A 25721-nucleotide genomic window follows, 5' to 3' on the forward strand; every position below is an offset into this window, starting at 1 on the left:
TATTTCACTGCAGTGGGAACTGGCTGTGGTCTGATGGTAGATCGTTGGTCTCAAGTAGCTGGTAGCATGGGCTGTTGTTATGTCAGCAGTCTTGCTTACCTCAAATATGTCACTTGGATACGTTTAGTGTAATATGGTGAATTATTTTAAAAATACATCAGCAGCTGGGTGTGGTGGTTCACACCTGTAATTCCATGCTTCGGAAAGCTGAGGCAGGAGGATCGCTTGAGACCAGGAGTTTGAGACCAGCCTGGGCAACATAGTGAGACCCCATCTTTTTTTATTTTTTATTTTTTGAAATGGAGTCTTGCTCTGTTGTCCAGGCTGGAGTGCAGTGGCGCAATCTTGCCTCACCACAACCTCTGCCTCCTGGGTTCAAGCGACTTTCCTGCCTCAGCTTCCTGAGTAACTGGGATCACAGGCGTGCACAGCCATGCCCAGCTAATTTTTTTTTTTTTTTTTTTTTTTTTGTATTTTTAGTAGAGACAGGTTTTCACTATGTTGGCCAGGCTGGTCTCAAACTCCTGATCTCAGGTGATCTGCCTGCCTTGGCCTCCCAAAGTTCTGGGATTACAGGCATGAGCCGCTGTGTCTGGCCCCCATCTTTTCAAAAAATAAGAGTGGTGTGGTGGTGTGCACCTGTAGTCCCAGCTACTTGGGAGGCTGAGATTGAGACTACAATGAGCCATGATCGCACTACTACGCTCCAGCTTGGGTGACAAACACCCTCTAAAAAAAAAAAAAAGTTGGCTACATTGCAGTTTCGTAAAGAATAAAACAACACCCAGAATGCTGAGGGCGGGGTGAGGAGTAGAATCCTCTGTGGGACTGCCAGGCCTGTCTCACAGACCTCATTTCATCCCCAAAATACTTTGCTTTCCCTTCCTGACCCCCTTGCCTAGGAAAATTCCTAGTATCTTCTAATCTGTTACTCAAAGAACAATCAAAGAGTGACAATAGAACCAAGTTTACAATTCAGATTTTACTCAGTCACTAAAGTATCTGCAAAACATACCCCTGGATTTGATGCTAGATCATAGAGATCATGTACTCCCATCAAGTCTATAGAACTCTGGCCAATGGCACCGGGCGTGGTGGCTGTAATACCAGTACTTTGGGAGGCTGAGGCAGGTGGATCACGAGGTTAGGAGTTCAAGACTAGCCTGACCAATATGGTGAAACCCTGTCTCTACTAAAAAAAATACAAAATTATCTGGGCATGGTGGCATGTGCCTGTAGTCCTGGCTACTCGGGAAGCTGAGGCAGGAGAATCGCTTGAACCCAGGAGGCAAAGGTTGCGTGAGCCGAGATCACGCCCTGCACTCCAGTCTGGGCGACAGAGCAAGACAACGTCTCCAAAAAAAAAAAAAAGGCCAGGCGCGGTGCCTCACGCCTGTAATCCCAGCACTTTGGGAGGCCGAGGTGGGCGGATCACGAGGTCAGGAGATCAAGACCATCCTGGCCAATACGGTGAAACCCCATCTCTAGTAAAAAATACAAAAAATTAGCCAGGCGTAGTGGCCGGCGCCTGTAGTCCCAGCTACTTGGGAGGCTGAGGCAGGAGAATGGCGGGAACCCAGGAGGCGGAGCTTGCAGTCAGCCGAGATCGAGCCACTGCACTCCAGCCGGGGCGACAAAGTGAGACTACGTCTCAAAAAAAAAAAACAACAACCAAAAGAACTTTAGCCAATGGCTGCAGCTGCCATGTAAATGCTGAAAACCTCCAAATCTATCACTTCAGACCTCTCACTACCTGCTGGATGCACAGAGTGGGTTGTCATCCCTCTCCAAAACTCCAGTCTCCACTTACATAACCACTTCTTTCCTGAATGGAAGTTTCAGTCTTCGTAGCAGGCATCCCGATTATTCTGGCTCCCATCTGCCAACTCGATCCATTCTTTAAGAGAGCTACCAATCTGGGCAGTAAGAAGGCTGGGCCCCATAACCTCTAAAGAATAACTCCAAACAAAATTATCCGGGCCTGGTGTTGTGTGCATCTGTGGTCCTAAGCTACTCAGGAGGCTGAGGTAGGAGTTTCGCTTCTTTTTTTCTTTTTTTTTTGAGATGGAGTCCTGCTCTGTCGCCCAGGCTGGAGTGCAGTGGCTCGATCTGGCTCACTGCAAGCTCCGCCTCCCGCGTTCACGCCATTCTCCTGCCTCAGCCTCCCGAGTAGCTGGGACTACAGGCGACCACCACCACGCCCGGCTAATTTGTATTTTTAGTAGAGACGGGGTTTCACCGTGTTAGCCAGGATGGTCTCAATCTCCTGACCTCGTGATCCGCCCGCCTTGGCCTCCCAAAGTGCTGGGATTACAGGCCTGAGCCACCGCCCACGGCTGGAGTTTCGCTTCTTGAACCCAGGAGGCGGAGGTTGCAGTGAACTGAAATTGCACGCCATTACACTCCAGCCTCGGTGACAGAGCGAGATCCCGTCTCAGACAGTCCTAAGAAATCACTCAGTAGCTTTGCATGAGTTCTCCCTTCTGTTGTAAACTCCTTTCTCCGTTTCTCTTCTGGTTCAAAGTTTCACACCTTCAAGGCTCACAGCAGCCTTCTGTTACCCACCCCCAGTCCCCAGCAGGTCAGGTGTCAATTTTTTTGACTTTGAGAACCAATGATTATCTCTTCATGGCCCTAATCATACCATTGTGTAAATAGGCACTGTTTCTCCATAAGTTGTAACTCCTTAAGAGCAGGACACATCTTTTATTTCTGTTTCCCAAACCTAGCAGGGTGTTTGACTTAAAGTAAGTGCTTGATAAATGGAGAGAGACCAGCAGGGAGAGTCCTTGAACTTGAGAAGCTTTTTCTAAAACAAAAACACAGCCAAAGACAGGGCACTTGTATAATCTTTAGGTAAAAGTATTTTATGCTACAAATAATGGACATTCAATGAGAATCCTTACTTTTCACTGAGTCCTGTACCAAGTGTTTTACATGAACTATTGTACTTTTTTGTTGTTGTTCCTTTTTTTTTTTTTTTTTTTTTGAGACAGAGTCTTGCTCTGTGGCCCAGGCTGGAGTGCAGTGTTGCAATCTCAGCTCACTGCAACCTCCGCCTCCCAGGGTCAAGCAATCCTCCCACATCAGCCTCCCAAGAAGCTGGGACTGACTACAGGTGTACACCACCACACCTAGCTAATTTTTGTATTTTTTGTAGAGATGGGGTTTCGCTATGTTGCCCAGGCTGGTCTCAAACTCCTGAGCTCAAGTGATCCAACCACCTCGGCCTCCCAAAGTGCTGGGATTACAGGTATGAACCACAATTTATTGTATTTAAGTCTCAACATTTATATGCTATAAGCAGTACTATTAATATCTTCATTTTGTAGATGACAGAAAAGGCTTAGAGAGATTAAGTAACTGGCCGAAGGTCACACTTAGTAAACTGCAGAAACTGAACCTGAAATGCAGACTCTGTGGACTCCAGACCCAAAAGCCTTAACCATATTCCATTTGGCTTACATTATGAGCCTCGTCCTGAAACAGTAATGAGAATGAAAAACACATGTTCCTATTACTACATACATACTCTACTGCCTCATTAACCATTTCCTGTATGCCAGCATTTTGGCTAGGTCTCTGTTTTTTTCCAACTCTTGAATCTAAAATTCAAATATGAAACATTAATGTTTAAATCCATGCAAAAAATGCATTTATGTATTCATTTATTCATTCTACAGATGCTTTTGGCAGGCTTGCACTAGGCAGTGAGGATACAAAGACAAAATGTTGCCCCAAATTAAGGAGCTAATGCTCTAGTGCTGGGAGGTACATGTTAAGAAAGAAAGGACTTAAAACAGGAGAATTAGGATGTGGCTGGGACTGAGTAGAGGGCACACATTGCTATCGCTGATCAGGGTGAGTGCTCTGCCAGGCTGTACGTGCAAATATTGTGCTAATCCACGGCAGCCTGGGAAGGTAGGTATTGTCTCCCACACTTTTCACAGGAAGAAACAGGGTTAGGCAAGTAACTAGCCTGAGGTCACACAACATGGGCCAGGGCCTGAAGCTATGTGTGTTAAAGCCAATGCTTTATGCTATTCCTCTTGGAAGCTCTTTGGACAAGTTCATGTATTTCTTGTTAGGAAAATCTTCTAGAAGCCTTAGCCATTTGGAAGGAAGCAAGAACAGTTTGATGACCTAGGGCTAGGAAGGCTCTGAAAAACTGTGCCCTTGAAATCCAAGAACATTATTATTATTATTATTATTATTTTGAAACAGGGTCTGGCTCTGTCACCCAGGCTGAAGTGCAGTGGTGGGATCATGTCTCACTGCAGCCTTAACCACCTAGGTTCAAGCAATCCTCCCATTTCAGCCTCGAGTAGCTGGGACCGCAGGCGTGCACCACCATGCCTGGCTTTTTTTTTTTTTTTGAGATGGAGTCTGCTTCTATCACCTACGCTGGAGTGCAGTGGTGTGATCTCAGCTCACTGCAACCTCCACCTCCCGGGTTCAAGCGATTCTCCTGCCTCAGCCTTCCCAGTAGCTGGGATTACAGACACCTGCCACTATGCCCGGCTAATTTTTTTTTTAAATATTTTTAGTAGAGGTAGGGTTTCACCATGTTGGTCAGGCTGGTCTCGAACTCCTGACCTTATGATCCGCCTGCCTCAGCCTCCCAAAGTGCTGGGATTACAGATGTGAGCCACTGCACCCGGCCCCTATTTTTATTTTGTATAGGGACAGAGTCTCACTGTGTTCCCCAGGCTGGTCCTAAACTCCAGTGGTCCTCCTGTCTCGGCCTCCCAAAGTGTTGGGATCACAGGCGTTAGCCACTGCCTCCAGCCCCAGGAGCATCACTAATAAATCCCTAAGACCTGCTCAGTACATTGACTTCTGAGACAGAGGGCCAGCATGGCCGAGGCGCCTGGCAGAGGAGGCTCTGAGAGCAGAGGGGAGACAGAGCAGTGACACCTGGAGTGGAGGCCTGAAGGCTGATCAGAGCCCAGCGAGGGTCATGCCTGCAGGGCGTGCTAGCAAACGCAGGGCTGGGACAGCCTCAGGAGGGTCCCAGTGTTGAAAAAGGAGTAGGATTTGATGATGGATAGATACACAGGTCTGATCATGCAGGAGCTTTTCAGTTAATGAAACGGTGGAGGAAAAATAAGGTGGGGAGCGTCACCTGGAAATGAACAGCTTTGTATTTGCCAAGTTTCATCTGGATTGGCAGATGGCACATGAAGCTGATAATTGGACTCAACTCAGGAGGAAGGTTTCAGGTGCTGACAAGTAAATGCATCCCTGCAGTTCAGAATGCAGTTGCTATCACAGGCATGTATGAACTGGTACACCAGTCCAAAAGCAGGCCAGGTGTGGAGGCTCATGTCTGTAGTCTCAGCTATTCAGGAAACTGAGGTAGGAGGATTGCTTGAGCCCAGAGGTTCGGGACAAGCCTGGGCAAACGGCAAAAACCCACCTCTATAAAAAATACAAAGGCCAGGCATGGTGGCCCACACTTTGGGAGGCCAAGGCGGGCGGATCATGAGGTCAGGAAATGGAGACCATCCTGGCTAACACGGCGAAACCCCGTCTCTACTAAAAATACAAAATATTAGCTGGGCGTGGTGGTGGGCACCTGTAGTCCCAGCTACTCGGGAGGCTGACGCAGGAGAATGGTGTGAACCCAGGAGGCGGAGCTTGCAGTGAGCCGAGATCGCGCCACTGCACTCCAGCCTGGGTGACAGAGCGAGACTCTGTTTCAAAAAAAAAAAAAAAAATACAAAAATACAAAAATTGGCCAGGCATGGTGGCTTAAGCCTGTAATCTCAGAACTTTGGGAGGCTGAGGCGGGTGGATCACCTGAGGTCAGGAGTTCGAGACCAGCCTAGCCGACATGGCGAAACCCCGTCTCTACTCAGAATACAAAAATCAGGTAGGTGTGATGGCAGGCACCTGTAATCCCAGCTACTTGGGAGGCTGAGGCAGGAGAATCACTTGAACCTGGGAGTTGGAGGTTGCAGTGAGCAAAGGTTGTGCCACTGCACCCTAGCCTGGGCAACAAGAGCGAAACTCCTTCTCAAAAAAAAAAAAAATTAGCCAGGTGTGGTGGCATGCACCTGTGATTCCAGCTACTTGGGAGGCTGAGGTGGGAGGATCCTTTGAGCCCAAGAGATAGAGGCTGCAGTGAGCCGAGATCATGCCACTGCCCTCCAGCCTGGGTGATAGAGCAAGACCCTGTCTCAAAAACAAAAAAAAAAGCAAGGGTGAGGACAGTGTCCTGGGGAGTTCTCTGTAACCCTGGCTGCATGAGAGTGTTTGAACAGACAGCACCGTCTGGGAAGAAAGGTGGAACCCAAAGAAACATAAGTCACTTTTTTATGGAGTCAAGAGTGGATCTCCCGGTTACTAGGTACACTTCCCTGTATTAGTAATCCCTGAGAAAGAAATACAATAGATGCTTTGTGGAAAAGGCCTGGAGGAATTGAGCTGCCCTCAATGTTGTGTTCTAAATCCTTGCAGGTCAGCAATTTGCTAACCCAAGGAGGGCCTGTATAATCTCCCTCCCCTATTAGTGTATTACCAAGGGCTGCTCTCACAGTCTTCACAGAGGGGCCAGTAACACCCAGAATAGCCCTTCATTTCTCTACTTGGTGGTTTAAGCCTTACATTCCCCTCCCATTAGGTAGCTGAGATGTATATATATATTTTGGCACAAGGGGTTGTCCCATTCCCTTCTTACTTTGAACTGTAGTCTCCCCTCCTTAGCCACCATAAACACAGGTTAAGAAATCTGCTTTTCGGCCGGGCGTGGTGGCTCATGCCTGTAATCCCAGCACTTTGGGAGGCCGAGACGGGCGGATCACTAGGTCAGGAGATCGAGACCATCCTGGATAACACAGTGAAACCCCGTCTCTACTAAAAATACAAAAAAATTAGCCGGGCGTAGTGGCGGGCGCCTGTAGTCCCAGCTACTCGGGAGGCTGAGGCAGAAGAATGGCGTGAACCCGGGAGGCAGAGCTTGCAGTAAGCCGAGATGATGCCACTGCACTCCAGCCTGGGCGACAGAGCGAGACTCCGTCTCAAAAAAAAAAAAAAAAAAAAAAAAGAAATCTGCTTTTCTCCTCTATGCTGGCTGTTAAATAGGCTAGAGAGTGTAGAAAGTGGGTTCTTTTAAGGCCGGGGGTGGTGGCTCATGCCTATAATCCCAGCACTTTGGGAGGCCGAGGCAGGTGGATCACTTGAGCCCAAGAGTTTGAGACCAGCCTGGTCAACACGGTGAAACCCTGTCTCTACTAAAAATACAAAAATTAGCCAGGTGTGATGGCAGGCACCTGTAATCCCAGCTACTTGGGAGGCCGAGGCAGGAGAATCACTTGAACCTGGGAGGCAGAGGTCGCAGTGAGCCAAGATCGCACCATCGCACTACAGCCTGGGTGACAAGAGCAAAAATTCTGTCTCACAAAAAAAAAAAAAAAAAAAAAAAGTTTTTTTTTTGTTTTTCTTTTTTTGAGACAGGGTCTTGGTGGCGCATACCTGTCTTGGTGGCACGCACCTGTCATCCCAGCTACTCAGGAGGCCTGAAGTGCAAGAATCGCTTGAACCCGGGAGGCAGAGGTTGCAGTGAGCAGAGACTGCGCCACAACTACATTCCAGCCTGGGAGACAGAGTGAGACTCCATCCCCCCACCGCCCCCCAAAAAAAGGATCAGAGACAAGTGTAAGCAAATATTAGGAAAATGACACTCCCTATTTTAATCAAAATATGATCTCCTTGTAACATACACAATGTAAAGTAGATAATCTTATCCTTATTTTAGGGAGGAGGAAACTGAGAATCAAGGATGTTAGGTAACTTGCATCAAGTTGGCCAGCTTGATCTCTGAGTAGTGGCAGAACCAGAACCCGATTTGAACCAGCCTCACTCTAAGCCCCAGCCCTTGCCACACCACCACCACCCATCAATTACATATCCACAAAGAACCTCCGTCTGGTCACGTATGAAATGAGGGATTGCTGCCGTCCAGTTGGGAATCCTGGAGTCTGAATGCCCCACCACAGACGGCAGTGATCAGAAAGATATTCTTCTCTGGGGAGGGCTGGGCCCCATCCACTCCCCAGTCAACTCCCCACATTCCAGGGAGATGCAGTGAGCTCTTCTCTGCAGCCAGCTCAGGCTCATGACTGCACTGCCAGGGAAGAGAGTAACATTGCTCCAGACCCATTTGTACCTGACTGCTCTAAAGGTTACCTTGGATCTGGGAAAGTTTGCTGAGTAAATTAATAACATAAGCAAGGACGTAAGAAGAACTTTAACCTACCTCACAGAATTCTATACTAAGAGGCCAAACTGTTTTTGAGAACCAAAGGACAATGCATACAACGAGTCTGGTTATTCCTAGAGAATCCTAACTGGGAGCTGACAATATTGATGGGGCTCCTGCCAAGTGCCGGGGCCTGTGCTCATCTCTTTATGGACTGTTTCATCCTTACATTGGTATTATCCTCATTTTGCAGCCAAGAAAATAAACTAATAGGAAGGAATAAGTAACTTGTCTAAAGTCATGCAGCCAAAATTCTAACCCAATGTCTACAAAGTCCATGACATTGCATTTTTCTTTTTCTTTTTTTAATTAAAAAGAGACCAGGCCGGGCGTGGTGGCTCATGCCTGTAATCCCAGGACTTTGGGAGGCCAAGGTGAGTTGATCACTTGAGGCCAGGAGTTCAAGACCAGCCTGGCCAACACAGTGAAACCCCATCTCTAGTAAAAATACAAAAAATTAACTGGGTATGATAGCGTGCACCTGTAATCCCAGCTACTTGGGAGGCTGAGGCAGGATAATTGCTTGAACCTGGTAGGAGGAGGTTGCAGGGAGCCGAGATTGCGCCCCTGCACTCCAGCCTGGGTGACACAGGGAGACTGTGTCTCAAAAAAAAAAAAAAAAAAAAAGAGACTGGGTCCGGGCTCACTATGTTGCCCAGACTGCTCGTGAACTCTTTGTTGTTGTTGTTGTTGAGACAGAGTTTCCTTTAGCTCTTGTTGCCCAGGCTGAAGTGCAATGGCACGATCTCGGCTCACTGCAACCTCTGCCTCCCAGGTTCAAGCAATTCTCCTCCCTCAGCCTCCCGAGTAGCTGGGATTACAGGCACCCGCCACCACACCTGGCTGGCTAATTTTTGTATTTTTAGTAGAGACAGGTTTCACCATGTCGACCAGGCTGGTCTCGAACTCCTGACCTCAAGTGATCTACCTGCCTCGGCCTCCCAAAGTGCTGGGATTACAGGTGTGAGCCACTGAGCCTGGCTAAGAGAAAGGCCTTGAACTCTTAAATTCCTGGCCTCAAGCAATCCTCCCATCTCAGCCTCCCAAGTGCTGGGATTACAGGAGTGAGCCACTACACCTGGCCAATATTTGTGTTTTTTTTTTTTTTTTTGAGATGGAGTCTCACTCAATAGCCCAGGCTGGAGTACAGTGGCGCGATCTCTGCTCATTGCAGCCTCCATCTCCCGGGTTCAAGCGATTCTCCCACCTTAGCCTCCCGAGTAGCTGGGACTACAGGTGCATGCCACCACGCCTGTCTAGTTTTTGTATTTTTAGTAGAGATGGGGTTTCATGACGTTGGCCTCGAACTCCTGATCTCAGGTGATCTGCCCACCTCAACCTCCCAAAGTGCTGGGATTACAGGCGTGAACCACTATGCCCGGCCCAAAGTTTGTATTTCTTAAAAAGGATTTTACAATGATAATTTTCCTCAAATTCAGAGCCCGCTTTCTACTTAGTATAACTGATGGGGTTTTCTAATGATAATATGAACCGTCCCACTCCCAGGAACACAGGCAGCAGGCCAAGCAGTGGCTCTCAGTGAGGGTGAGTGTGTGGGTTGGGGGAGGGGCAGCCCATGAACACCCCAAGCTACTTCCACACTCCAATGGTCAGGAGAATGCAGAATTGAAAGCAGGAACAGGAGTCTGTGGCCTGGAGCTCACATTTAACCAAATAGTTTTCAGAGCTGGCTCAGAAACAGTTCTCCAAACCACAGCACTCTGCAAAGCCCAGCTGAGATCATCAGATGGCCATCCCAGGACAAGCAAGCAGAACTCCTCGGCCTGGGGTCCTGTTTGCCAAAAGGAATCTGGATGTTGTGAGTGCCTCAAGTCACTGACTCCCCCTCCTCATGACCAGGGGATGATGAGCAGCTGTTTAATAAGCCACCGGTGTCAAACCCGGTGGCCGGGGGCCCAGGAAGAACCCCGACTTGGGAGTGCAGCCCCTTAGGCATCTCAGAGCCAGGGACAGGAAAGAAAGACAGGTTGTGTTGCCAGTGTGACTGAAGCAAATTACCTTCCCTGGGCTGGTTTCCTTTATCTATCTTGTCTATCTTTTCTTACCTCCCTCCCGGGACCTTGAGATGCCTTGGAAATCAGATGGGAAAAGCACTGTCACTCACTGCAGGGGTTGTGGTAATGCTGGTTACTGATGCCACTGGGAACACCAAGCTACAGGAGTCAGTCATTTGGGACAGTGCCAGCAGTCAGAGCACAGGTCACACTTGTTCCAAACCATGGCAGTCGGTGCTTGCTGCCCAAACTATTGTCTGAGTTTATTTTTTAAGAAATAAAAAAAAAAATTATCATAGAATACAAAGAACATAAAATACACCATTGTTACCATTTTTTTTTTCTCTTTTTGAGACAGAGTCTCACTCTGTTGCCCAGGCTGGAGTGCAATGGTGCAATCTCAGCTCACTGCAACCTCTGCCTCCCGGGTTCAAGCAATTCTCCTGCCTCAGCCTCCCAAGTAGATGGGATTACAGGCGCCCACCACTGCACCTGGCTAATTTTTTTTTGTATTTTTAGTAGAGATGGGGTTTCACCATATATGGTCAGGCTGGTCTCAAACTCCTGACCTCAGGTGATCCACCCGCCTCGGCCTCCCAAAGTGCTGGGATTACAGGCATTAGCCAACGCACCCAGCCCATTGTTACCATTTTCACGTGTCCAGTTCAGGAGTATTACATACATTCACATTGTTATGCAACCTATCTCCAGAACTTTTCATCTTGAAAATCTGAGATTCAAAAAATAAAAATAAAAAAATGAAAGAAAAAGAAAAAAAAAATAAAAAGAAGAAGAAGGAAAAAAGAAAAACCGAAATTCCATGCTCATTAAACAGCTCCCTATTTTCCCTCCCCCAGCCCCTGGCAACTAGCACTTTACTTTCTGTTTCTATAAATTTGACTTGAGTATTTTTTTTTTAATCAACAAAACTCTTAACTTGCACTGTCAATATATTCCAAATATTCCAATATATTCCAAAATATTCCACAGCAGGCCTGGGTCATGCTGGATTAGCAAAGACAAGGACTGGCCTAGATGGAGTCACACCCTCCCCAGCCTTGGGTTTGGGTAATTCTCAACACCCTAATTCATTCTCCCCTGGCAGCTGGAGAGACCCGTGGGACAGCCACTCACTGCAGAAGGGGCTGGTGAGAGACATGCTCGTCATCTCCGAGGGCCTGGCTCTGCGCCAGCCACACACTTATCTGCCTGCTCCATCTCCGGAGTTTCTGTCTCTGAGCTTTGGCAATGGAAGTTGTGCTTCCACTATTAGCCAACACCGAGCTGGACTCTGGTAACTGACACAGCCGTGCATCTAGTGTAGCTCGGGTTGAGATGACTTGGCTTTTTTTTTTTTTTTTTTTTTTTTGAGACGGAGTCTCGCTCCGTCACCCAGGCTGGAGTGCAGTGGCGGGATCTCGGCTCACTGCAAGCTCCGCCTCCCGGGTTCACGCCATTCTCCTGCCTCAGCCTCCCGAGTAGCTGGGACTACAGGCGCCCGCCACCACGCCCGGCTAATTTTTTGTATTTTTAGTAGAGACGGGGTTTCACCGTGTTAGCCGGGATGGTCTCGATCTCCTGACCTCGTGATCCGCCCGCCTCGGCCTCCCAAAGTGCTGGGATTACAGGCGTGAGCCACCGCGCCCGGCCGACTTGGCTTTTTAAATTGCCTTCTATGAATATATATTTGTCCTAAGACTGGACTGGCCACATGAAATCAGGTTTTCAAAACGGAACTGCCTGTGAGGATGTGTGAGTGTGGATGTCAGGTGGCAAGGGGCTGAGAAGGAAAGTGCAAGGGGGCCTCCCATCCCACATGACTCACACGTTGCTCACATACACACACCCAGCCCCCCCCCCCCAACCCCAACACACACACGCAGGGCTGTAAACCATATGATTAGGCTCCTGCCTGACTCTCCCAGGCCATCTCTCCCTGTGGTCCAGCCACCATGGGCTGCTTTCTGCTCCAAACACACTCAGGATTGCTGTGTCCCAGGGCCTGCTTGGTGTCCTCTGCGTAGACACTAGACCAGAGCTCACAGAGCCACCTCCCTCTCAATAATCAGCTCTCAGCTCAAATGCCACCTCTTTAAAGAAGACTTCCTTAGAAACGGCCTGATTTCTAGTTTCACCAAAAACTGACCCTGAGATGAGAATTTGGGTATATGGCTTATTTGGAAGGTGATCCTGAAATGAGTGAGAAAAGGAAATCCAAAAAAGCAGGCCAGTAAAGCGTGTGTCACTTAAGGAGCAGGTAACCACTGTAGGCAACTGGAGCTCATTCCCCAGGACTCCTGAGAGCTCTCGCAATGTCCCACCAATGGTTACAGAGGTGTTTGCCTTGGAGTAATTCATTAAGCTGCACGTTTGCTCTGTGTATTTTTCTGTATCTGGATTTTACAATACAAGATTTTTTGTTTTGTGTTTTGTGTTTTTTGAGACAGAGTCTCGCTCCGTCACCCAGGCTGGAGTGCAATGGTACGATCTCGGCTCACTGCAACCTCCGCCTCCCAGGTTCCAGCGATTCTCCTGCCTCAGCCTCCTGAGTAGCTGGGATTACAGGCACCTGCCACCATGCCTGGCTAATTCTGGTATTTTTTTAGTAGAGATGGGGTTTTACCATGTTGGCCAGGCTGGTCTCAAACTCCCAACCCCAGGTGATCCGCCTGTCTTGGCCTCCCAAAGGACTGGGATTACAGGTGAGAGCCACCATGCCTGGCCATTTTTTGTTTTTTGAGAGAGTCTCACTCTGTCACCCAGGCTGGTGTGCAATAGCGTAATCACTAAGTGCAGCCTTGACCTCCCAGGCTCCAATGATCCTCCTACCTCAGCTGATACTACAGGCATATGCCACTGTGAAAGAAAAATAAACCTTGGAGCCCTAAAAGCACTAAGCTAAAGGGAAAAGTCAAGATGGGAACTGCTAGGACAAACCTACCTCCCATTCTGTTGAAAGTCATTTCTCTGCTCAGCTGGGCAGGTGGCTCATGCCTGTAATCCCAGCACTTTGGGAGGCCGAGGCAGGCAGATCACGAGGTAAGGAGATTGAGACCATCCTGGCTAACATGGTGAAACCCCATCTCTACTAAAAATACAAAAAATTAGCCGGGCATGGTGGCAGGTGCCTGTAGTCCCAGCTACTCGGGAAGCTGAGACAGGAGAATGGCGTGAACCCAGGAGGTGGAGCTTGCAGTGAGCGGAGATCATGCCACTGCACTCCAGCCTGGGTGATAGAGCAAGAGTCCGTCTCAAAAAAAAAAAAAAATTAGGAAGTCATTCCTCTGCTTACTGAGATAGATGCATATCTGATTGCCTCCTTTGGAAAGGCTAATCAGAAAGTCAAAAGAATGCAACCCTTTGTCTCTCACCTACCTGTCACCTGGAAACCCTCTCCCTGCTTGAGTTGTCCCACCTTTCCGGACAGAACCAATGTACATATTACATTGATTGACTTCTCATGTCTCCCTAAAATGTATAAAACCAAGCTGTTGGCTGGCGCGGTGGCTCACGCCTGTAATCCTAGCACTTTGAGAGACCGAGGCAGATGGATCACCTGAGGTCAGGAGTTTGAGACCAGCCTGGCCAATGTGGTGAAACCCCGTCTGTACTAAAAATACAAAAATTAGCCGGGCGTGGTGGCGGGCACCTGTTATCACAGCTACTCGGGAGGCTGAGGGAGGAGAATCGCTTGAGCCTGGGGGGCAGAGGCTGCAGTGAGCTGAGATCACACCACTTCATTCCAGCCTGGGTGAAAGAGCGAAACTCCGTCTCAAAAAAAAAAAAAAAGAAAAAACCAAGCTGTGTGGCCGGGCGTGGTGGCTTACGCCTGTAATCCCAGCACTTTGGGAGGCCAAGGCAGGCAGATCACCTGAGGTCAGGAGTTCAAGACCAGCCTGACCAACATGGTGAAAACCCATCTCTACTAAAAAATACAAAAATGAGACGGGTGTGGTGTCATGTGCCTGTAATCCCAGCTACCTGGGAGGCTGAGGCAGGAGGATCGCTTGAATCCAGGAGGCGGAGGTTACAGTGAGCCATGATCATGCTACTACACTCCAGCCTGGATGACAGAGCAAGGCTCCGTCTCAAAAAAATAATAATAATTTAAAAAGTAAAAAATAAAAATAAAACCAAGCTGTGCCCCCACTACCTGGGCACATGTCATCAGGACCTCCTGAGGCTGTCATGAACTGGTCTCAAGTGATCCGCCTGCCTCGGTCTCCCAAAGTGTTGGGATTACAGGTGTGGGCTGCTGCTCCCAGCCAAAAATAAACTTTCTAAATTAACTGAGACCCTTCTTAGATTTTTACGGTTCCCACCACGAAGCCTGGCTAATTTTAAAATTTTCTGTAGAGATGGGGGTGTTGGCGGGTTGGGCCGAGGGAAGAGGGAGGTCTCACTATGTTCCTAGGCCTGGTTGTGAACTCATAGGCTCAAGCAATCCCCCCATCTCTGCCATGCAGCCAATACAAGATTTTTTTAAAGTTCCTCGGAGAGGTGAGGAGGCTGAGGTGCATGTTCACCGACTCCTGTCCCTCTTTGGTTGAAGGTTGCTCGTGGGGACACTTCGGATTGGTCTGGGGTAGAGGAGCAGAGAAAGCCCTCAGGCAGAGACCCAGGACAGCCTCTGCACAAATGGGCACTGTCTGGAGTGTACAGAGGACAGGAGAGGCCCTGAAGGGTGTCCAATGCCACCTCACCAATGTCACACCCACCTTCACCATGACTTTCTCTATCCAAATCCCAGGGGCCTAAGCTTCAGGACCCCTTACTGGCATGCCCCGTCCAGGCCCTAGGAGAGAGGTGTTGTTACTATTATCCTGTGTTTACAGATGAAGAAAATGACACACAGTGAGTGGAAGGAACTTGCCCACGGCTAGAGAGCAGCAGAAGAGGGCAAGTCTTATCCGCTGACAATCCCTTTCCTAATCTTTAAGGAAACAAAGCACAATGATGAAAAATTTAAAGGTTTAAGGTTTTAATAATGCTCCAGGTAGGCCGGGCATGGTGGCTCACACCTGTAATCTTAGCACTTTGGGAGGCTGAGGTGGGTGGATCACAATGTCAGGAGTTCAAGACTAGCCTGGCCAACATGGTGAAATCTCGTCTCTACTAAAAATACAAAATTAGCTGGGTGTGGAGGCACTTGAACCCAGGAGGCAGAATTTTTGGTGAGCCAAGATCACGCCACTGCATTCTAGCCTGGGCAACAGAGCAAGATTCCATCTAAAAATAAATAAATAAATAAATAAATAAATAAATAAATAAATAAATAAATGAATGAATAATAAAATTTTTCCAAGTATAGTCACAAGACAAAAAGGAGTGACTCATGAAAGGAGAGAGGACTTAAATACTCTTAAGTACTGGCTGTGGGTTAGCACAAGAAAGGAGTAAATGCAAGGAACTGGATAGAATGACTGATTTAGTGGCCGGGTGCAGTGGCTCGCGCCTGTAATCCCAGCACTTTGGGAGGCTGAGGCGGGCGCATCACCTGAGATTGGGAGTTTGAGACCAGCCTGACCAACATGGAGAAACCCCGTCTCTACTAAAAATACAAAATTAGCCGGGCATGGCAGGAGAATCACTTGAACCCAGGAGGCGGAAGTTGTGGTGAGCAGAGATCATGCCATTGCACTCCAGCCTGGGCAACAAGAGTGAAACTCTGTCTCAAAAAAAGGAATGACTGATTTAGGTACAGGAGAGCAGTTTGTTAATACACTTGTGCATAACTTTGCTCACCTTCTTTTTCTGTTGCTAAAGTAATTTGTAGGCCAGGTACAGTGGCTCATGCCTGTTATCCCAGCACTTTGGGAGGCCGAGGCAGGTGGATCACTTGCAGTCGGGAGTTCAAGACCAGCCTGGCCAACATAGCGAAACCCCATCTCTACTAAAAATAGAAAAATTAGCCAGGCGTGGTGGAGCACACCTGTCGTCCCAGATACTTGGGAGGCTAAGGCAGGAGGATTGCTTGAACCCAGGAGGGTTCAGTGAACTGAGATCATGCCCCTGTACTCCAGCCTGGGCGACAGAGCCAGACCCTGTCTCAAAAAGAAAAAAAAGTAATTTGTAGAAATTCACATAAAAGTAGCAAAAAGGTATATAAGTTGTCCATAATCCCAGCTCTCAAAGGCCACCATTATGAATGCTTTTGTAAGTTATGAATGAATGCTTTTGTAAGTCATTATGAGTGCTGGGGTTACAGGCTTGAGCCACCCATGCCCGGCCAAAGCAGATCTGTGTTCCCTGTTCTGTCCTTCCCAGTCTACTTACCTTCATTTATCCAATCACAGACCCCAAGACCCACAGACCCCAAGACCCACAGACCACAGTAAAAGGTCCTAAGGTAGAAAAGCCAGACCAGAAGCTGAGCGCTGGGCTTTTCCCCCACCATGTGCCACTGTCCCCTAACATTTGTACCAGCTGCTTCATCATAACCATACAGAAAATGGTACCTGGCCAGCCTCTTCCTAGGTTAGCGTGCAGCTCCCTGACATACTTGCAAGTCTCATTCCAGGTCAGGTCTGTGGTGCTATAAATCCAGCTCTGTCTATCTCTCAACTAGAGGCGTCTGGGTCAGGGGCATTGCCTCTGACTGATGGACACTGAAGTTCTGCAGCTCCCGAAGGTCACAGGAAAGAGGCGTTGAGGGGTGGAGGGTGAATGTTACCCTCTATTTGTAATCTTGGAATGCAGAGACGTAGCCTTTGCTCTTCCCTCTGCCCAGCACTATCTTCCTCCCAAAAGCTGCACCACTTACTCTCACTTCCTTCAGAGATCATCTTGCCAGAGGCCTTTCCTGGCCAATCTCTCTTTTTTTTTTTTTTTTTTTTTTTGAGAGGGAGTTTCACTCTTATTGCCCAGGCTGGAGTGCAATGGCACGATCTCAGCTCACAGCAACCTCTGCCTCCCGGGTTCAAGCCATTCTCCTGCCTCAGCCTCCCGAGTAGCTGGAATTACAGGCATGCGCCACCACGCTTGGCTAATTTTGTATTTTTAGTAGAGATGGGGTTTCTCCATGTTGGTCAGGCTGGTCTCGAACTCCAGACCTCAGGTGATCCGCCCACCTCGGCCTCCCAAAGTGCTGGGATTACAGGCGTGAGCCACTGCACCCGGCGTGGCCAATCTCTATACAGTAACCACCCCACTCACGCACACCCTTGGCCCTTTCCAGAGCCTTACCCTGCTTCTTCTTCACAGCACATTCCACTTGTTTTATATATATATCTGTGTGCATACATAAATATATATATTTGGATTTATTGACTGTACCCTGTACCCTCTTCCCACTGGAAAGAAAGGCCCATAGGGGAGGAACTTTGTTTTGGCTCTTAGCTGTATTATCATTACCCACTAGCACAGCTGCAGTCAATAAATATTTGTTGACGGGATTAATGAAATCTCTCCTCCCACTTATATTACTGTCCTTGCAGTTTCTAATTTCAACTTACAAGTGGACTATGAACTGCAAATTACTACACTGTGCACTGATGCTAATTAAAAAATCATTAGGATGGCCTGGAATGAACTTGGCTTAATTTTAATCTGCCACCTGAATGTGGTCCAGGTTCCAGGTGAAAACAAATACAGGATCCTTCAGGATTTGAGACCTGCAGTACAGTAATTCCAGCAGAGATAAGCAGGGCTCCCGGAATTTGTCCCTTATCCCCTTCACTGCTTAATCACACATTGTTCCCTGCCCAGGCCAACTGGCATTACCTCCAGACTTCAAAATGCCCTTCTGCAGCTCCTGTGCTGGTTAAAGAAAGAAAAAAACACAGTGAAGTCCACTGGAGCACATTTTAGTTTTAATGTGCCAGGTCCCAAAGAGCCAGCTGAGTCGACTTGGCTGCCGAGGAAGGAACGGTGAAAAGTATGTGGACAAAAGAGATCATTTGTTGTTTTTACCCCAAACAATTCTCAAAACATATTTCATATTGAGAATGAGACAGGCACAAATGCACATCTGGACTGTACATATTGTTGAAGGTAAATTCATTTGCTCAGTGAGTCAAGGTTGGCAGGAAGCCAAAATGTTCAGCCCTTGCTTCTGATGCTGAGGCTTCAGCCAGTCATAAAATTATCTAGATCATTTAAGACATAATTACTTCTATCTCAGCCAATTATTTCAGTAGAAAGTTTTTTTCTTTTCCAGAACAATCCTTAATTAATTAAAAGTGCTTATTTCAAAATATTTTATAGAGAATGTGTATGTACAGGCCAGGCACAGTGGCTCACGCCTGTAATCCCAGCACTTTGGGAGGCCGAGGCAGGCGGATCACTTGAGGTCAGGAGTTTGAGACCAGCCTGGCCAACATGGTGAAACCCTGTCTCTACTAAAAATACAAAAATTAGCCAGGCGTGGTGGCACACATCTGTAGTCCCAGCTACTCAGGAGGCTGAGGCAGGAGAATCGCTTGAATCTGGGAGGTGGAGGTTGCAGTGAGCGGAGATCACACCATTGCACTCCAGCCTGGGCGACAGAGTGGGACTCCATCTCAGAAAAAAAAAAAAAGTGTATGTACAGATTAAAGAATAAAGTGAACCTCACGTGACTACACTGGAGACAGGAGCACCTCCAGAGACCCTTGAGCACTCTGCCATTCCATCCCCTTTCCTCTCCAGAGGTAACCAATATCCCCACCTTTGTGTTAACCACCCCCTGGCATTTATTCCTAATTGCTTTTATCTCTCTGTGAATCTCTCAAAAACATTGTTTAGTTTGGAAAAAAACTGAGCAGTAAGCACAGACCTAGCTTTGAAAGGGGAGGGCAATGATGCTCCCACGGCTCCCTGAAGATGACCTGAGTGGAGCTTCCGGGCAGAGCCTGGCTTCCACGTCCCCTTGAGTTCTCCAGAGTCTGTCTGGGGTTGTGTCACAGGGCGTAGTGTGAGTGAGGTGCAGGCTGACCAGCAGAAACATGGTCAAAGGGCATGGGCTGCTATGAATTTTCTGCCTCTAGACTCACCACAGCTGCAGTGGGTGGAAACAGACCTGGAAGAGATCACCAGTGTCCCCGGGCGCTCTGGGAGGCAGGGCCTTTCATCTTCTTCAACCTGGGCACACCTGAGCATTTTTATCTTCATGTACAAGGACCATCGTTGCTCTGTGATCATAACCCTCCGCATGTCTATCTTCTGAGTCACGGCGGCAGTCTGGACCAGCTGCTCGCTATTGCTAGGCCGGAGCACAGCTGTCCTCCCAGGAGCTCCCTTGTCCTCCGCCGGCTTCAGGATCCCTGTATCCCGTGTCTCCTTTTTCCTGGCACTACTTCTTCATCTGGGGGAGCACATCATCTGATAGTTTCCTGAGAAAGGGCGAAAGGATGTAGATAGACAAGCCTACCTGACGCTACTCGGGGGAGGTGGGCTGTGTCCAGGTGCCCCCTATGCACCGCTCCTCTCCGAGGGCTTCCTGGGAGACAGCCCACCAGCTGGGATGTTCTAATTTGGACTCAGTAGAAACTATCAAAGTGGATGCAGTCTCAGAAAACTAGGAAGGTCAGGAATTGAGTCTGTTATTAGCTGATCTCATCTCCGACAAAAAAAAAAAAAAGAGAGAGAGAGAGAATTGAGCCTGTTGTAGTGCACAGCATTCTAGCCTGGGCAACATAGTGACACCCCTCTGTAATTAAAAAAAAAAAAAATTCAGCCTGGAGGAACTTAAATTAACATTGTCCTGGCCTTGGAATGCCTTTAGAAAAACAATAGGAAAACCCCTAGGCCCAGCGGTGCCAGTGGGAAATAAGGGGAGCCTGTCAAGCACTGGTGCACCAAGAATTCAAGGCCTGGGCCCCACAGCTCTCTGGCAGCAGCATTTCAGCCTTATAAGGCAGTGTAAGTTGTTTCTAGGTGCTGAGGAGACTGGAGATATGGGCGGCAGTGAGTCCACATCTCTCCTCCCCTACCTGGCAGTCCCCTCCCCATCCAGGCACTGATAAGATATTGCAGTCCTGACTGTGTCTCCCTGAGATTTAAGAGAGGTATCGGGAGACACACCCTATGTGTTTGGCTTCCATCCCCAGCCCTGCCCATTTGCTGCTGGGAGTAAACCAAAGCAAAAAGCACTCTGAAATGGAACCAAGTCACCATTCTCTCCTATCTGGAATCTGGGTGAGACTCTGTGGTCTTAGTCAAAGCATGCTGACCTGGGGGCAGGGGACTTGGGCCCCACCCCTGGGAGCCACTAGTGCATGCTCCTGGACAGTCATTATCTGGGCCCTGGGTTAGTTCCTCTTCTTTAAACTGGAGGTTGGGTGTCAGGGGTTCTCCTCTCATGGAACATCAGAATCACCTGGAGAGATTTAACTAGCTGCAGCCGCCCAGGCCCCACCTGGAGACTCTGATATAATTGGCCTGTAGGGAGGCCCAGGTAACATATTTTTGAAAACCCTTAGTTGATTCTTGCGTCATCCAGCTGAGAAACACTCACAGATGACTCTAGGGACTTTTGTAGCATTATGATTCAGTAATTCTGATAAGAAACTGTAGGTAATTTTTTATATTTTTTTAAAGAGTCTCGCTCTGTCACCCAGGCTGGAGTGCAGTGGTGCGATCTCAGCTCACTGCAAACTCTGCCTCCCGGGCTCAAGTGGTTCTCGTGTCTCAGCCACGGAGTAGCTGAGATTACAGGCAAGCGCCACCGTGTGTGGCTAATGTAGGTAATATTTTGCAACATAAAATCCAAGGGTAGGCGAGAAGCAGTGGCTCATGCCTGTAATCCCAGCACCTTGGGAGGCTGAGGTGGGCGAATTGTATGAGCTCAGGATTCGAGACCACCCTGGGCAACACAGTGAAACCCTGTCTCTACTAAAAATACAAAAATTAGCTGGGCATGGTGGTGCACACCTGTAGTCCCAGCTATTTGGGAGGCTGAGGTGAGAGAATCACCTGGCCTGGGCAAGTCAATGCTGCGGTGAGCTGAGATCACACCACTGCACTCCGGCCTGGGTGACAGAGTGAGACCTTGTCTCGGGAAAACAAAACAAAACAAAACAAAAAAAACGGCCGGATGCAGTGGCTCACATCTGTAATCCCAGCGCTTTGGGAGGCCGAGGCAGGCAGATCGCGAGGTCAGGAGTTCGAGACCAGCCTGGCCAACCTGGTGAAACCCTGTCTCTACTAAAAATACAAAAATTAGCCAGGCGTGGTGGCACATACTTATACTCCCAGTTACTCGGGAGGCTGAGGCAGAAGAATCGCTTGAACCCGGGAGGCAGAGGTTGCAGTGAGCCGGGATCGCGCCATTGCACTCCAGGCTGGGCAACAAAGTGGGACTCCGTCTCAAAAAAAAAAAAAAAAAAATCGAAGGGTAACCTCAGATCTCCTGACAGGTAGTCCTGTAAAAGAAATGTCCATTGTTATCTAGTATTCAACAGGACTTAACTACAATGCAAGCACTGGCTTCTAATTATGCCTAAGGAGAGACATTAGCATTCTTTAATGTCCCTAGAGTTAAACATTTGTCCACTTTCTTAAATGTTTTACTCTCTAGACTAGACAGGAGGATGGGTGTTTCCTCACTTCCATCCTATCCATTTAAAAATCACTTCTTTATTTATTTTTGAGACGGAGTCTGGTTCTGTTGCCCAGACTGGAGTGCAGTGGTGTGATCTTGGCTCACTGCAACCTCCGCCTCCCAGGTTCAAGCGATTCTCCTGTCTCAGCCTCCTGAGTAGCTGGCACTACAGGTTCCTGCCACCACGCCCGGCTAATTTTTGTATTTTTAGTAGAGACGGGGTTTCACCATGTTGGCCAGGATGGTCTCCACCTCCTGACCTGGTGATCCACCTGCCCCGGCCTTCCAAAGTGCTGGGATTACAGGTGTGAGCCACCGCGCCTGGCCACTTGTTTATTTTTTATTTATTTATTTTTAAGACAGAGTCTTACTATGTCACCCAGGCTGGAGTGCAGTGGCACGATCTTGGCTCATTGCAACCTCTGCTTCCTGGGATCAAGTGATCCTGATGCCTCAGCCTCCTGCGTAGCTGGTATTACAGGCACATGCCATCATGCCTGGCTAATTTTTTGTATTTTTTGTAGAGATAGGGTTCTGCCATGTTACCCAGGCTGGTCTTGAACAACTGGCCTCAAGTGGTCCGCCTGCCTCGGCCTCCCAAAGTGCTGGGATTACAGACGTGAGCCACAGTGCCCGGCCAAGCTAATGTTTCTAAGTCCACCTGTCTTTTTCCTCTATCCCATGCCACCAGGAACTATTAATAGCAAGGCCTGTGACATTTTGGCTGCTAAAGCACAGAATCTCCAAACCCGTGCCATGCAAGATGCCAAATTAAAGTGGATACAAATAATTTCATTCTTCACAAATGAATCTAGAGTAGACTATAAACTGAGACTGGCAATAAAGGATTTAAGAATCTTTCATTGAGATTGTTACTTCAATGTTAGTTCTTAGTGGGCTGAGAAAAATAAAGCAATTGTTTTTTGAGAAAGTGTCTTGCTCTGTGGCTGGGTGCGGTGGCTCATGCCTGTAATCTCAGTACTTTGGAAGGCCAAGGCAGGTGGATCACTTGAGGTCAGGAGTCTGAGACCAGCCTGGCCAACTGGTGAAACTCTGTCTTTACCAAAAATATAAAAAATTAGCTGGGAGTGGTGGCATGTGCCTGTAATCCCAGCTACTTGGGAAGGTGAGGCAGAAGAATTGCCTGAAACCGGGAGGCAGAGTTTGCAGTGAGCCGAGATTACACCACTGCACTCCAGCCTGGGCGATGGCGCGAGACTCTATCTCAAAAAAAAATACAAAACAAACAAAAAAGGAAAGTGTCTTGCTCTGTTGCCCAGGCCTGAGTGCAGTGACAGGATCTTGGGTTACTGCAACCTGAACCTGCCAGGCTCAAGCAATCCTTCCACCTCAGCCTCCTGAGTAGCTGGGACTATCGGCACATGCCACGATGCCTGATTAATTTTATTTTTTTGTACAGATGCGGGTCTCACTATGTTCTTCAGGCTGGTCTCAAACTCCTGGACTCAAGTGATCCTCCTGCTTTGGCTCCTAAAGTGCTGGGATTAGAGGCATGAGCTACTGCACCTGGCCAAATGAAGCAATTTTTAAAAATCAGACATGAAGGCCAGGCGCGGTGCGTCACACCTCTAATCCCAGCACTTTGGGAGGCCGAGGCAGGCGGATCACAAGGCCAGGAGATTGAGACCATCCTGGCTAACACGGTGAAACCCTGTCTCTACTAAAAATACTAAAAATTAGCTGGGCGTGGTGGCGGGCGCCTGTGGTCCCAGCTACTCAGGAGGCTGAGGCAGGAGAATGGCGTGAACTTGGAAGGCGGAGCTTGCAGTGAGGTGAGATCGCACCACTGCACTCCATCCTGGGTGACAGAGTGAGACTCTGTCTCAAAAAAATAATAAAATAAAATAAATAAAAAATCAGACATGACATAGGTCCTCAAAAAGCGTTGTTGAATTAATTTGCTTTTCATCTCCTTTTATTCATTTTTCTTTATTTTTCTCCACCTCCTGTTTTAATTTTTTTTAGAAACTGGGCCTCACTCTGTCATGTAGGTTGGAGTGCAGTGGCACAATCACAACTCACTGCAACCTTGATCTCCTGGGCTCAAGCAATCCTCTTGCCTCAGCCTCCCGAGTAGCTGGGATACCACCATACTGGCTAATTCTTTTTCTTTTTCTTTTCTTTTTAAAATTTTTTAAATTTAAATTTAAATTTTATTTTACGTATTTATTTTTTTTGAGGCAGAGTCTCGCTCTGTTGACCAGGCTGGAGTGCAGTGGCACAACCTCAGCTCACTGCAACCTCTGCCTCCTGGGTTCAAGTGATTCTCCTGCCTCAGCCTTCTGAGTAGCTGTGATTACAGGTGCATGCCACCATGCCCAGCTAATTTTTGTATTTTTAGTAGAGACAGGGTTTTACCATGTTGGTCAGGCTGGTCTCAAACTCCTGACCTCAAGTGATCCGCCCGCCTCAGCCTCCGAAAGTGCTGGGATTACAGGTGTGAGCCACTGCACCCGGCTTCTTTTTTTTTTCTTTTTCTTTTTTTAGAGATGGGGTCTTGCTATGTTGCCCAAGCTAGTCTTGAACTCCTGGCCTCAAGGGATCTTCCCCCCTTGGCCTTCCAAAGTGCTGGGATTACAGGCTGAGCCATGGCCCCTGGCCCTGATCCACTTTTCTAATATATGGCTTTTTAATTTGAAAAACTGATTTCCTTATACACTGTGAAACAGCATTTCTATAGCTCCCTGGACTATGCTAGTTCCCTCACCCAATGTCTCCACTTCTAAAGTCCTCAGTTACTGTGAAACTCATTTATCTTTCTGCAACATTAATTTTGAGAAAGTTGAAGTGAGCAAAACTTCCTGGAATCTGAAAAGAAGATCCATTGTCCCCGTACCAGGCTCACAATCAGCCAAAGGGGGAAGTAGATTTTCCTGTCTGTACAAAAGAAGGTAATTAGAATTTTGGTTGTAATAAATTATCTATAGTCTCCTCTTTGAAGCTGTTTTAGAGAATGTTCCTGTAGGCCAGGGTCTTAGAAAGTTTCTTTTGAACGCCTTGACCATATTCAGGGCTCCTGGGCCCCTCATCATGAGAGAAGTATTGCTAAAACGGCTTCTGACCAGCAGTAACTAAATACCAGAGGAAGCCCCACCTCCAAAGCCTTATGGCTTGTCTGCAGACAGCCATGAAATCTTAGTTTGGTGGAAATGACATCAGATCTCTTCACTGTTAACTGTGCTTTGTGCCATAGAATAAAGTGATTCAGTTGTTCAATTATTATAAAAAGTCACTTGCTGGCCAGGCGCGGTGCCTCACGCCTGTAATCCCAGCACTTTGGTAGGCCGAGGAGGGTAGATCACCTGAGGTCAGGAGTTCAAGACCAGCCTGGTCAACATGGTGAAACGCCATCTCTACTAAAAATACAAAAATTAGCCGGGCGTGGCAGTGCATGCCTGTAGTCCCACCTCCTCAGGAGACTGAGGCAGGAGAATTGCTGGAACCCGGGAGGCGAAGACTGCAGTGAGCCGAGATCGCGCCACTGCCCTCCAGCCTGGGCGACAGAGCGAGACTCTCAAAAAAAAAAAAAAAAGTAACTTGGTGCTTATTATGTGTCAAGTGCTATAGATGCCAAAATGAGGAGAGGACATGCTATTGTCAATTTTAGCCTAGCACTTAAATAGCAGATCTAGTATCAGTGCTGGTCAGTCCAGGTCAGCATAGAAGGCAGTCTGAGCTGAAAGCAGATGGAGGAGGGAAAGCTGCTCAGGAAATGGTATTGAAATCCCAAAGCAGTCCCTATGGGTGGTAGGGAGGAGACATTCTAGGAAGGGGGAACATCATGAGCACAAACTCAGAGGTGTGATAGAACATAGCACTGGAATGGAATGGCAATCAATCCAATCAAGGAAAGAGGAGGGGCAGGTAGCAAAGGTGGGTTGATGTCAGATTACAAAGTCCA

The 25721-nt window shown here is 48.0% G+C and overlaps 1 long non-coding RNA gene across 1 annotated transcript, besides 5 other annotated features; it reads right to left on the reverse strand.

Moving 5' to 3' along the window:
• Positions 2418-2487: an enhancer, noted in NCBI's record as "active region_2603". NCBI's record gives its function as "activates an Ori minimal core promoter by ATAC-STARR-seq in GM12878 lymphoblastoid cells {active_cell/tissue: GM12878}" and the evidence as "EXISTENCE:reporter gene assay evidence [ECO:0000049][PMID:35858748]".
• Positions 11457-11506: a silencer, noted in NCBI's record as "silent region_1851". NCBI's record gives its function as "represses an Ori minimal core promoter by ATAC-STARR-seq in GM12878 lymphoblastoid cells {active_cell/tissue: GM12878}" and the evidence as "EXISTENCE:reporter gene assay evidence [ECO:0000049][PMID:35858748]".
• On the reverse strand, positions 15243-19775 carry LOC101927143 (uncharacterized). The gene is made up of 2 exons (NR_110669.1): positions 19251-19775; positions 15243-15507 (listed from the first exon to the last, which is right to left on the reverse strand). It is a non-coding gene; the product is annotated as an uncharacterized LOC101927143 (long non-coding RNA).
• Positions 17379-17548: an enhancer, noted in NCBI's record as "experimental_5412 CRE fragment used in MPRA reporter constructs". NCBI's record gives its function as "activates a minimal promoter by MPRAs in K562 erythroleukemia cells, with activity observed for the introgressed 1:224398670 variant allele {active_cell/tissue: K562}" and the evidence as "EXISTENCE:reporter gene assay evidence [ECO:0000049][PMID:34662402]".
• Positions 20994-21687: an enhancer, noted in NCBI's record as "H3K27ac-H3K4me1 hESC enhancer chr1:224402200-224402893 (GRCh37/hg19 assembly coordinates)". NCBI's record gives its function as "activates a minimal SCP1, AML or CMV promoter by ChIP-STARR-seq in primed H9 embryonic stem cells {active_cell/tissue: H9 hESC(primed)}" and the evidence as "EXISTENCE:reporter gene assay evidence [ECO:0000049][PMID:30033119]".
• Positions 24102-24299: a silencer, noted in NCBI's record as "fragment chr1:224405308-224405505 (GRCh37/hg19 assembly coordinates)". NCBI's record gives its function as "represses an EF-1alpha promoter that drives an FKBP-Casp9 reporter gene in an ReSE screen in K562 erythroleukemia cells {active_cell/tissue: K562}" and the evidence as "EXISTENCE:reporter gene assay evidence [ECO:0000049][PMID:32094911]".

This window comes from Homo sapiens, chromosome 1 (assembly GCF_000001405.40).
Source record: "Homo sapiens chromosome 1, GRCh38.p14 Primary Assembly".
Classification (NCBI taxonomy): Eukaryota; Metazoa; Chordata; class Mammalia; order Primates; family Hominidae; genus Homo; species Homo sapiens.